General features: G+C 37.5%; 1 protein-coding gene across 2 annotated transcripts in view, besides 1 other annotated feature; it reads right to left on the reverse strand.

Moving 5' to 3' along the window:
* Window positions 7,857-8,057: a silencer, noted in NCBI's record as "peak640 fragment used in MPRA reporter construct". NCBI's record gives its function as "represses an SCP1 promoter by STARR-seq MPRAs in K562 erythroleukemia cells {active_cell/tissue: K562}" and the evidence as "EXISTENCE:reporter gene assay evidence [ECO:0000049][PMID:32103011]".
* The window catches only part of ASPM (assembly factor for spindle microtubules), a 62,543-nt gene continuing 60,512 nt past the window's right edge, over window positions 11,619-13,649 (reverse strand). For both annotated transcript variants that reach the window (NM_001206846.2, NM_018136.5), the window contains one exon: window positions 11,619-11,918. In NM_001206846.2, coding sequence (NP_001193775.1) covers window positions 11,816-11,918 — 103 coding nt within the window. In that variant the 3' untranslated portion in view covers window positions 11,619-11,815. The remainder of the gene's footprint in view (window positions 11,919-13,649) is intronic.

Below are 13,649 nucleotides of genomic sequence, written 5' to 3' on the forward strand. Positions count from 1 at the left end.
GAATGATCATTGGGCCAACAATGAAAGATGGAAATTAAAAAATTATTTGAACTGAATGACAATAGTGACATAACCTATCAAAACCTCTGGGATACAGCAAAAGGTGGTGCTAAGAGGAAAGTTCATTGTCCTAAAGGCCTACATCAAAAAGTCTGAAAGAGCACCAACAGATAATTTAAGGTCACACCTCAAGGAACTAGAGAAATAAGAACAAACCAAACCTAAGCCCAGCAGAAGAAAGGAAATAACCAAGATCAGAGCAGAACTAAATGAAATTGAAACAAAAAAAATTGTTTTAAATATGAATGAAACAAGAAGCTGGTTCTTTGAAAAGATAAATAAAATTGATAGACCATTATATTAACCAAGAATAACCAAGAAAAGAAGGAATAAAATCCAAATAAGTTCAATTAGAAATGAAACGGGAGATAATACAACTGACACCACAGAAAAAGATCAGTCAAATCTACTATGAACACCATTACATGCATAAACTAGAAAACCTAGAAGAGATGGGCCGGGAGCGGTGGCTTACACCTGTAATCCCAGCACTTTGGGAGGCCGAGGCGGGAGGATCACGAGGTCAGGAGATTGAGACCATCCTGGCTAACACAGTGAAACCCCGTCTCTACTAAAAATACAAAAAAAAAAATTAGCCGGGCATGGTGGTGGGCACCTGTAACAGCTCCCAGCTACTAGGGAGGCTGAGGAAGGAGAATGGCGTGAACCTGGGAGGCAGAGCTTGCAGTGAGCCAAGATCCCGCCACTGCACTCCAGCCTGGGCAACAGAGCAAGACTCCATCTCAAAAAAAAAAAAAGAAAAAGTAAAAGAAAAAGAAAACCTAGAAGAGATGAATAAATTCCTGGAAAATACAACCCTCCTAGCTTAAATCAGGAAGAATTAGATACCCTGAACAGACCAATAACAAGCAGTGAGATTGAAGTGGTAACAAAAAAATTACCAACAACAATTCCAGGGCCAGGGATTCACAACAGAATTATACCAGACACTCAAAGAAAAATTGGTGCCACTCCTATTGACACCATTTCACAAGACAGAGAAAGAGGGAATCCTCCCTAATTCATTCTATGAAGCCAGTATCACCCTAACACCAAAACCAGGAAAGGACATGACAAAAAAAAAGAAAACTACAGGCCAATATCCCTGGTGAACACAGAAATAAAAATCCTTAACAAAATACTAGCTAACTGAATCCAATAACATATCAAAAAGATAATCCACAATGATCAAGTGGGTTTCATACTGCAGGGATTGTTTAACATACATACCCAAGTCAGTAAATGCGATACACCACATAAACAGAATTAAAAACAAAATCACATGATCATCTCAGTAAACACAGTAAAATCATTTGACAAAATCCAGCATCCCTTTATGATTAAAACGCTTAGTGAAATTGGCATACGAGGGACATACCTCAATGTAGTAAAAGCCATCTATGACGAATCCACAACAAACATAATACTGAATGGGGAAAAGTCGAAAGCATTCCCTCTGAAAACTGGAACAAGATAAGGATGCCCACTCTCACCAGTTCTCTTCAACATAGTGCTGGAATTCCTAGCTAGAAAAATCAGACAAGAGAAAGAAATAAAGGGAAACCAAATTGGTAAAGAGGAAGTCAAACTTTCACTGTTTACTGATGATATGATTGTATATCTAGAAAACCCTAAGGACTCCTCCACAAAGCTCCTGGAACTGATGAAAGAATTCAGCAAAGTTTCTGTACACAAAATTAATGTACACAAGTCAGTAGCTCTCCTATACACCAACAGCAACCAAGCTGAGGATCAAATCAAGAACTCAACTCCTTTTACAATAGCTGCAAGAAAAAAAAAATACAAAAAATACTTAGGAATATACCTAACCAAAAAGGTGAAAGGCCTCTACAAAGAGAACTACAAAACACAGCTGAAAGAAATCATAGATGACACAAATGGAAACACATCCCATGCTCATCGATGAGTGGAATCAATATTGTGAAAATGACCATACTGCCAAAAGCAGTTTACAAATTCAATGCAATTCCTATCAAAATACCATCATCATTCTTCACAGAACTAGAAAAAACAATACTAAAGTGTATATGAAACCAAAAAGAGAGCCCACACACCCAAAGCAAGACTAAGCAAAAAGAACAAATCATTTGGAGGCATCATGTTACCTGACTTCACACTATACTATAAGGCCATAGGCACCAAAACATCATGGTACTGGTATAAAAATAGGCACATAGACCAATGGAACAGAATGGAGAACCCAGAAATAAACCCAAATAGTTACAGCCAACTGATCTTCAACAAGTCAAACAAAAACATAAAGTGGGAAAGGACACCCTATTCAACAAATGGTGCTGGGATAATTGTCAAGCCATATGTAGGAGAATGAAATTGGATACTCATCTCTCACCTTACACAAAAAAAATCAACTCAAGATGGATCAAGGACTTAAATCTAAGACATGAAACTATAAAAATTCTAGAAGATAACATTGGAAAAACCCTTTTAGACATTGGCTTAGGCAAAGACTTCATGACCAAGAACCCAAAAGCAAATGCAACAAAAACAAAGATTAATAGATGGGACTTAATTAAACTAAAGAGCTTCTGCATGGCAAAAGGAACAGTCAGCAGAATAAACAGGGAGAAAGTCTTCACAATCTATGCATTTGTCAAAGGACTAATGTCTAGAATCTACAAAGAACTTAAACAAATAAGCAATAAAAAAAAAAAACAATCCCATCCAAAAGTAGTCTAAGGACATAAACAGACAATTCTCAAAAGAAGATATACAAATGGCCAACAAATGTGTGAAAAAATGTTCAACATCACTCATGATCAGGAAATCCAAATCTAAACCACAATGCAATACCACCTTACTCCTGCAATGGCCATAATAAAAAAATAATAATAATAGATGTTGGTGTGGATTCAGTGAAAAGGGAACACTTCTATACTGTTGGTGGGAATGTAAACTAGTACAACTACTGTGGAAAACAGTGTGGAGATTCCTTAAAGAACTAAAAGTAGAACTACCATTTGATCCAGCAATCCCATTACTGGTTATCTACCCAGAGGAAAATAAGTCATTATACAAAAAAGATACTTGCACAAGCAGGTGATGTTAATAACATCACAATTCACAATTGCAAAAATATGGAACCAGCCCAAATGTCCATCAACATCAATCAATGAGTGGATAAAAAATTGTGATATATATACAGGATGGAATACTACTCAGCCATAAAAAGGAATGAGTTAATGGCATTCACAGCAACATGAATGGAACTGGAGACAATTATTCTAAGTGAAGTAACTCAGAAATGGAAAGCCAAATATCATATGTTCTCACTCATAATTGGGAGCTAAGCTATGAGGATGCAAAGGCATAAGAATGATACAATGGATTTTGGGGATTCTGGAGAAAGGTGGAAGGGGGCTGAGGGATAAAACACTACAAATTTGGTTCAGCGTATACTGGTTGGGTGATGGGTGCACCAAAATCTCACAGATCACTGCTAAAGAACTTACTCATGTAACCAAATACAGCCTGTTCCCCCAATAGCCTATGGAAATAAAAATAAAATAAAATAGAGTACAAAATAATTCTGCAAGGCAGAAGCTATTATTATTTCAATTTTGTATTTTTTATTAAATGTATTAACAGAAAAGTGTACATATGTTAAGAATTCTCACAAGTCTAAGACATCCATGAATCCACAACCCAGAACAAAGAAGGAATATACCAGCACCCCAAAATCCCCCTACCAAGTTACTGCCTACATCTACCCTAGTGTTAAACATTATCTTGACTTCTAATAACATAGATCAATCAGTAGTTTTATACTATATAAATGGAATCATATGGGAAATACATGTATATTTTTATGTCTGGTTCCTTTTGTTTAACATTTTGGTTCTGAGATTTATCCATTTGAGGATACAGTAGATAGCACCTTTTCTAAATAGTATTGCATTCTGTAAATATGCCATAATTTATCCATTCAACTATTTATGTAAATTTGGGTTACTTACAATTTATAAAAATCATTGACATCTGCTTATTTTCAAATATTTTTTTCACACAAAACCTCTACCTAGATGCTATCATTAACATTTTACTATCGTTTTCTTACTAATTTTTAAATGCTTCAATTAACCTAATTTTTCAACAATAGGTCTCCAGAATGTATTCATTTTGCATAACTGAAACTTTGTTGCCTTTGACCAAAACCTCTTTATTTTCTCTTCCCTGCAATCCCCTAGCAACCACCACCATTTTACTCTCTGTTTCCACTTGTTTGACTGTTTTAAATTCCACACATAAATGAGAGGATGGAGTATTTGTCTTTCTGTGTCTAGTTATTTCACTCCACATAATGTCCTCCAGGTCCATCCTTGTTGCTGTCAGTGGCAGGATTTTCTTCCTTTTTTAGACTGTATAATATGTCATTGTATGCATATAAAGTTGAGCCTTAAAAAAGTGGGGGTTAGGGCTGCTGACTCTCTGCACAGTCAAAATTCTACATATAACTTGACTCTCCCAAGACTTAACTACTAATACCATGTTGTGAACTGAAAGCCTTACCAATAACACAAATAGATGATTAACACACTTTTTTTATTATATGTTATAGACCATATTCTTACAATAGAGTAAGCTAGAAGAAAGAAAATGTAACTAATAAAATCATAAAAGGAGGAAATATATTTACTAAGTGAAAGTGGATCATCATAAAGGCTTTATCCTTGTCATCTTCATTTTGAAAAAAGGAGGAGTTATTCTTGTTGTCTCAGGAGTGGCAGAGGCAAAAGAGGTGGAAGAAGTGGAAGTGGAAGCAGGAAAGGCAGGCAAACTTTGTGTAACTTTATGGAAATGCATTGTAATCTCTGATGTTTTCTTTTTTCATTTCTCTAAAAATGTTTCTACACAGTACCAATCTTTCTTTCCCCATTTGCTTTAGTTTCTCTGCCCATATCATAGAAGGGTCCATGTCATAAAAGAAGTCAAAAGCAGTCTTGAATAATCAGAACCCTTCTGCCAGATTGTCTAATGTAAATTTGTTTTCTGGCACTGCTTCTTCTCTATCTTCTTCCTCATAATTTGGCACTGGTTCAGAAGCCCTCTTCTCCATCAAGTCTTCTATTAATTTCTCTGCTGTGGTGTCTATTACCTCTTGAATTTCTGCAAAATTCATATCTTTAAACCTTTCACTCCTTACCTTTTTTTTTTCTTTTGCCATATCCACACTCTTCCTTGATTGGCTCCATTGTAAATCCTGTGAAGGCATGCACATCTGGACAGTTCTCTGCAGCAGGAATTTATTGTTTTATGATCGATGGCATTCACAGCTATTTATACAACAACAAATGACATCTTCAGTAGTGTAATTCTTCCAGACTTTTATGATGCTCTTTCTTTCAGGGGTTCTCTATCTGGATTCTCTTCCAGAGCATTGACAATCTTTTCCATATGGTAATGTGTGTAATGAGCCTTAAAGATCCTTATAACCCCTGATCTAGAGGCCAAATTGAGTTGTATTTGGGGGAAAGAAGATGACTTCTACCTCTTCACTGTTGAACTCATGCGGTTTTGCATGGCTGGGGCATTGTCCAATATCAAAAGTACAGTAATAGGAAGTTCCTTACTGGCAAGGTACTTCCTAGCTTCAGGGACAAAGCATCCATGGAACCAATCCAGAAATAGAGTTCTCATTGTTCAACTGAGGTTCTCTTGTCATACAACCAAGAGACTGGCAACAGGTGTTTCTCTTTTCCTTTCAAGGCCCAGGAGTTACCAACTTTATAGATAAGGGCAGTCCTGATCATAAACCCGACTGCATTTACACTAAATGGTAGAGTTAGCATACCCCTTCCTGACTTAAATCATGGTACTTGCTTGTCTTCCTTACTAATAAATGTCCTTTGTGTCAGTTTCTTTTATTTAGGACATTTTTGTCTGCATTTAAAGTGCATTCAGACAGATATCCTTTCTTCTCAATGATTTTCTTAATGGCACCTGGGAATTCATCTGCTGCTTCTAGGTTGGCAGAAGCTACTTCTGTTTCCTGACATTTTTAAAACCAAAACTTTTTCTAAAATTATCAAACTGTCTTTTGCTGCCATTAAATTTTCCAGCTTTAACTCCTTTACTTCCCTTTGGCTGTAAGTTGTCATATAATGACTTTGTTTTTTTATGAATTATGTTATAGTCTATAAGGGTGCCTTTCCTATAACAATCTTGCACCTACATAAAAGCTACATTCTCAATACAGAAAGATATTTTTCAAAAAGTGCAAGGTTTTTGTCCCTGTTGGCATAGATGCAGTGATGGCTATCCAAATTTCCTTTTCTTTCTTTACAATGTTCCTTATCCTATATTCATTTACCTTGAAATTGTGGGCAACTTCATCTGCAGACCTCAATCTGCAGTACATATCAAGCAATTCAAACTTTTCTTTTAGTATCATGACTTTTCTTTGCTTCTTGTGAGCCCTTGCAGTTCACTAGTAGCACTTGGTGTGTGCTTCCTATTGTTATTCAAGGTTTACAGTATCGCACTAAATACAATGAAGAATACACAAAAACCGTGAGAGATCTCTTTTTACTGCAATACACAATTTACTAGAGTGATGAACTGCTCACATGGAAATGATTAGCATCACATGGCATTTTAAGCAGATACAACACTGGAGCTCATTACATAATAACAGGAGGTGGCTATGAAATTATCACAGTAGTACAGTATATACAATTAATTTTATGTGGTTATGATTTAATACTGCATATTTATGCTTATTTACATTTATCTCCACTGTGAATGGTCTCATGTATGGTCTGCAGGTGTTTGTGTGTGTAAATTTTAATACATTTTGACTTCTTTCAATAGATTTGTGTATATTTTATGGTAGTATATAATAAAAGACTATTATCCACATATATTTATGCATGCATGGTATATCTAACTTTTTCTTAATGTTTTTAACGTTTCTAGGTTACACAGTTTACCTGCATGTTTTTTCAAATTATCACAAATCTCCAAAAAGTTTTCCAACATATATATTGAAAAAAAAATCTGCATAGGAGTGCACTTACATGGTTTAAACCCATGTTATTAAAGAGACAACTGTACTGCTTTTGAAAATTCTTTCATCAGTGAACACTTGTTTCCATATCTTGACTACTGTAAATAATCCTGCAATGAACATTGGAGTACAGACACCTCTTTGAGGTACTGAGTTTAATTCCTTTGGACATATATTCAGAAGTGAGATTTCTCGATCAAATGGTAATTCTACTTTTAATTTTTTAAAGAAACCTCCATATTGTTTTCTATAGCTGCACCTTTTTTACATTTCCACTAACCATGTATAAAGGTTTCCTTTTCTCCACTTTCTGACCAATAACAGGTCTGAGCTGACATCTCATTGTAGTTTTGATTTGCATTTACCTAATGATTAGTGATGTTGAACACATTTTCATATACCTGTTAGCAATTTATATGTCTTCTTTGCCAGTTTTAAAATCAGGTAATTTATTTTCCTATTAAGTTATAGGAGTTACTCATATATTTTGGATACTAATGTCTGCTATGATTTGCAAGTGTTCCCCAAAGTTCGTATGTTGGAAACGTAATCTCCAATGTAAAGGTGTTGGGAGGTGGGACATTTAAGATATAATTAGGTCGTGAGATCTCGATCCTCATGGAAGGATTAATGCTATTTTCAAGGGGGGTAGGTTAGTTATTGTGGGTGTTAGTTCCTAATAAAAGGAAGCATTTGGCCCCCATGATGGTTAATATTAGATGATATGATTTGGCTGTGTCTCCACTCAAATCTCATCTTGAATTCCCACATATCATGGGAGGGACCCAGTGGGAGGTGATTGAATCAAGGGGGCAGATATTTCCTGTGCTGTTCTCCTGATAGTGAATAAGACTCATGAGATCTGATGGCTTTAAAAGGCAGAGTTTCCCTGCACAAGCTCTTTTTCCCTGACATCCTTGTAAGACGTGACTTGCTCCTCCTTGCCTTCTGCCATGATTGTAAGGCTTCCCCAGCCACGTGGAACTGTAAGTACATTAAACCCCTTTTCCTGTATAAATTACCCAGTCTTGAATATGCCTTTATCAGCAGCCTGAAAATGGAATAATAGAGTAAATTGATACCAGGAATGGGGTACTGCTGAAAAAATACCTGAAAATGTTGAAGCGACTTTGGAACTGGGTAACAGGCAGAGTTTGGAACAGTTTGGAGGGCTCAAAGACAGAAAAATGTGAGAAAGTATGGAACTTCCTACAGACTTGTTGAATGGCTTTGTCCAAAATGCTGACAGTGATATGGACAATGAAATCCAGGATGAGGTGGTCTCAGATGGAGATGAGGAACTTGTTGGGAACTGGGGTAAAGGTGACCCCCTGGTGGCATTTTGCCTCTGCCCCAGATATTTGTGGATCTTTGAACTTGAGAGAGATGATTTAGGGTATCTGGTGGAAGAAATTTCTAAGCAGCAAAGCATTCAAGAGGTGACTTGAGTGCTGTTAAAGGCATTCAGTTTTGTAGGGGAAGCAGAGCACAAAAGTCAGGAAAATTTGTAGCCTAACAATGTGATAGAAAAGAAAGTCCCATTTCCTGAGGAGAAATGTAAGCCAGCTGCAGAAATTTGCATAAGTAATGAGGACCCAAATGTTAATCTCCAAAACAATGGGGAAAATGTCTCCAGGGCATGTTAAGAGGTCTTCATAGCAGCCACTCCCATTACAGGCCTGGAGGATTAGGAGGAAAAAGTGGTTTCGTGGGCTGAGCCCAGGATCCTCATGCTGTGTGCAACCTAGGAACTTGCTGACCTGCATCCCAGCCGCTTGAGCCAAGGTGGAAAGGAGTCAATGTAGATCTCGGAACATGGCTTTAGAGGGTGCAAACCTCAAGCCTTGGCAGCTTCCATGTGGTATTGAGCCTGCCAGTGCACAGAAGTCAATAATTGGGGTTTGGGAACCTCCACCTAGATTTCAGAGGATGTATGGGAATGCCTGGATGCCCAGGCAGAAGTTTGCTGGAGGGGCGGGGCCCTCATGGAGAATCCCTGCTAGGGCAGTGAGAAGGGAAATGTGGGGTCAGAGTCCCCACACAGAGTCCTTACTGGGGTACCACCTATTGGAGCTGTGAGAGGAAGGCCACCATGTTCCTATTGGAGCTGTGAGAGGAAGGCCACCATCTTCCGCAACCCAGAATGGTAGATCCACCAGCAGCTTGCACCTGCACTTGGAAAAGCTGTAGACATTCAACCCCAGCCCATGAAAGCAGCTGGAAGAGAGGCTGTTCCCTGAAAAGCCACAGGGGGAGAGCTGCCCAAGACCATGGGAACCTACCTCTTGCATCAGCGTGACCTGGATGTGAGACATGGATTCAAAGGAGATCATTTTAGAGCTTTAAGATTTGACTGCCTTGCTGGATTTCAGACTTGCATGGGGCCTGCAGTTCTTTGTTTTGGTCAATTTCTCCCATTTGGAATGGCTGTATTTACCTAATGCTTATACCCTCACTGCATCTAGGAAGTAACTAGCCTGCTTTTGATTTTCCAGGCTCATACATAAAAGAAACTTGCCTTGTCTTGGATGAGACTTTTGACTGTGAACTTTTGAGTTAATGCTGAAATGGGTTAAGACTTGGGATGGTTGGGAAGGTATGATTGGTTTAGAAATATGAGGATATGAGATTTGGTATGGTCCAGGGACAGAATGATATGTTTTGGCTGTTTCTCCACCCAAATGTCACCTTGAATTCCCACGTGTTGTGGGAGGGACCCAGTAAGAGGTAACTGAATCATGGGTACTTTTCCCTGTGCTGTTCTTCTGATATTAAATAAGTCTCACAAGATTTGATGGCTTTATAAGGTGGAGCTTCCCTGCACAGGTTCTTTTTGCCTGCTGCCATCCACGTAAGACTTGACTTGCTCCTCCTTGCCTTTTGCCAGGATTGCAAGGTGTCCCCAGCCACATGTAACTGTAAGTCCCTTATACCCTTTTTCCTGTATAAATTAACTAGACTCGGGTATGTCTTTATCAGCAGTGTGAAAACAGACTAATACATTAGATATCAACTTGATTGCATTTAAGGATGCCTGGATAGCTGGTAAAGTATTGTTTCTTGATGTGTCTGTGAGGGTGTTGCCAGAGGAGATTGAAATTTGAGTCAGTGGACTGAGAGATAGAGACCCGAGATTGACATTTGAGTCAGTGGACTGGGAGAGGGAGACCCACCCTCAATGTGGGTGGGCACCATCCAACCAGCTGCCAGCACAACTGGAACAAAGCAGGTGAAAGAGGGTGGGAAAAACTGGCTTGCTGAGTCTTCTGGCTTCCATCTTTCTCCCACGCTGAATGCTTTCTTCTGTTCCTACTGCCTTTGGACATCAGACTGCAGGTTCTCTGGCCTTTGGACTCTTGGAATCACACCAGTGGTTTGCTGGGGGCTCTCAGGCCTTTAGACACAGGCTCAAGGCTGAACTGCTGGCTTCCTTGCTTTTGAGACTGTTGGATTCAAATTGAGCCACTACTGGCTTCTTTCTTCTCCGGCTTGCAGACGGCTTATCCTAAGACTTCTCCATTTGATCACGTGAGCCAATTCTCCCTAATGAATTTCCTTTCATGTATACATATATACTATTAGTTCTTTCCCTCTGGAGAGCCCTGACTAATACAGATTTTGGTACCAGTAGTTGTTCTAGAGGAACAGAGTTTTAAGGATGGATTTCTTTAGCTGGTTTTGGGGTTTCTGGAGTTGGCTGTTTAATCTGATTAGATCCAAAAATGCTAAGGACTCTATTTCTAATAGTATGGAGAACACTGATAGTTTTTTATGTGAATTGTTTAGAGAGTTATGCAAAATAAATGCATTTGATACTCCTTATTAACTGCTCCTGAGAAGCAAGGAGTTTAGTGTCTCTATAAATAATACCTTTGACCATATGTGGAGAACCAAGGAATATAATGAAGTTAGTTGATACTCCTAAGTTCACTGAACAAAGTGATGAAAGAAAAGGATGAGCCCAGGGATTCTAACTCCCATGGGCAGACTTTGAGACTCTATTCAGATTTCAGCCATAAGAATTAGACATCTGTGGCCCTGAAACCACAGATACTAGTAATAGTGACTCAAAGAGTAGAAAAAAAATCACATTTCAATACTGAATCATTTTCAGGTCTGTGGTGTATAACTACACAACAAGATTCTATTATAAGCAATAGCATGTTCCTTCCACTTCAAATTATAACCCCCATCAGTTCAATGGTAAGAATTTTTAGTAAATACAGTGGTGGGTGTATTCTTTTTGTGAGCCTAGAAGGGCTCACTTGCTTATCTGGATGCTTTAGCCAGTCAAGGATATAGATAAGGATGCCATTGATATGAATTTGTGAGATTATTTTATCCTAGTCTCACTTCTTAGTGAGTAGACAGAACTTCAATTTCTAACATTTGTTTTATGAAAATTCCTCAACTTACCTATAAAAAAGGTGTAATCAGCTATTATTTCCTTTTAGTAATAAGATTACATTGAAACTACTATAATACTTTAAGATAATAGACAGGAATAATATAATCATCTTATGACATATTAGTTTATTACATGCATAAAACTATAAATGATAAAAATGAAGAATGTAATGAACAGTTTATGTTTTTTTAAAACAAAGTCAGATTTTAAAAGTTGTACACGGAGAGCAAAAATCACTTTACGTACTCATGATTGGCTTTAATATTTCTTTACACTATACATACTGAAAATGTTTACATTTACTAATAAGGAATGCCAAGCGTATCCATCACCATTTGAATAGCTTGCAGGGGATTTGTGATTTCTTCCATGTTATCTCTTCTCAAAACCCAATCTGGCTTAAGTCTGTTAAAAAAAAAAAAAAAGTCTGGCATTAATAAAGTTCTTCTCTTTAGAGTTACCTTCACCTTTTTTCTCTTAACTAAATTGTAGCTACTCCTGAACACATCATTTCCCTTACAAACTGCTCAAAGAGGTGGGAGAACTTCATATTATTGCCCATCACTAGTTCCAGACTATTTCTCTCCATCCTTTCTAAAAAATAATGCTGGCTTCTTTGAAGCTTATGCTATTTAGCTTGACCACTGCCTTTTGGTCATCAGCCAAACTCTCAGTGTCTTATTCCTTGTAAACCTGGTTCTTGTTCTCCTCTTACCTACTGTCACCGTTCTCAGCAACAGCAACATCTATGTGGCCAAAAAGCCAACAACCTAGTCCGTTTTTGCCCCACTTTCCTTCAATTCTACCTCAACCAATCCTTTTTAATATGATCACATACTAGACTTTGTCATCATCAGAAAGTGTGCGACCACTGAAATCTTGAGACTTCCATTCTCCATCCACCATTTCTGATTCATCCATGTCATATGCTCTAACACAGTCATTGAACCAGTTCTTCTACCCCACTGAGATCTCCACTTCATTTGGCCTCAACACATACCCAACATCCACCAGAATGCTGTCCTTACTTTCCTGTGTATCTAGCTCAGGTGCATCAGTATTATCAAAACCTTTGCAAATGCCATTAACTGTTGTCTCTCTCTCCTACCAAACTAGTCTGAAGAATTCTACTTGGATTTCAAATTGAGTCAAAATATCTGCCTTCTCCATTCCTATACAGCTGCATATTACTAAAAATGTTTACACAACCAAGCTGATTTTATTTTTTGCCAATAATTACAAATCTAAAATGAGCATTTGAAATTGCCAGCATGCTCCCTTTCTCTCCAAGATGACTATCTTGGTCCTTTCCTCTTTTCAAACTTCCCCTCCATACCCTCTGAGCTGCTTCTGAGTTGTTGAGTTTATAATCTCAAACTTATTGAGAAAATAGTATCAAACCGAGGGAGTTCATGCATCTTCTCACATAATTCCCTACTATATGCATTTCCATCATCTTATTTTGTCCTGCTAAAAATCCAAAGATATATCAATTGGTGAGTGAACAAAGTGTGGTACGACCATACAATGGAATAGTACTAAGTGATAGAAAGGAATGAAATTCAAATCCATGCATAAACATGAACGAATTTCAAAAGCATTATGCTAAGGAAAAGAATCCAGTCACAAAAAGCTATCTACTATATGATTCCATATATGTGACAGTATAGAAATGGCAAAACTAAAGGTACAAAAATCAGATCAGTAGTTCCCAAAATCCAGGGAATAAAGAAAGAGAACTGACAACAAAGGGGCATAAGGAAACTTTGTGTTACAGAAATATTTTGTATCTCAGTGGTGGTAGTTTCCTAACTGTATACATTTGTCAAAACGAATTGAATTGCATACATTTAAAGGATGCATTTATACTGTCAGTAAATTTTACCTCAAAAGCCTGACCTACATCAAAATTTTAAGAGAATCCATTCATATGTTAGTATGAGCTTTTAAAACATAATGAATATTAAATTCTACCAAGTCCTTAAAAAACATGTAGAAATGGTCCCATTAATATATTTCAAGCAAATGAACTTTACATTATGCTGTGAAATATGCATGCATAAAACCAATTTATAACTACATTATACAGTTTATAATTATGAGTATAATTATAAAGCTAATGGCTGTGTAACCACT

This window comes from Homo sapiens, chromosome 1, assembly GCF_000001405.40.
Source record: "Homo sapiens chromosome 1, GRCh38.p14 Primary Assembly".
In the NCBI taxonomy this organism is placed as follows: Eukaryota; Metazoa; Chordata; class Mammalia; order Primates; family Hominidae; genus Homo; species Homo sapiens.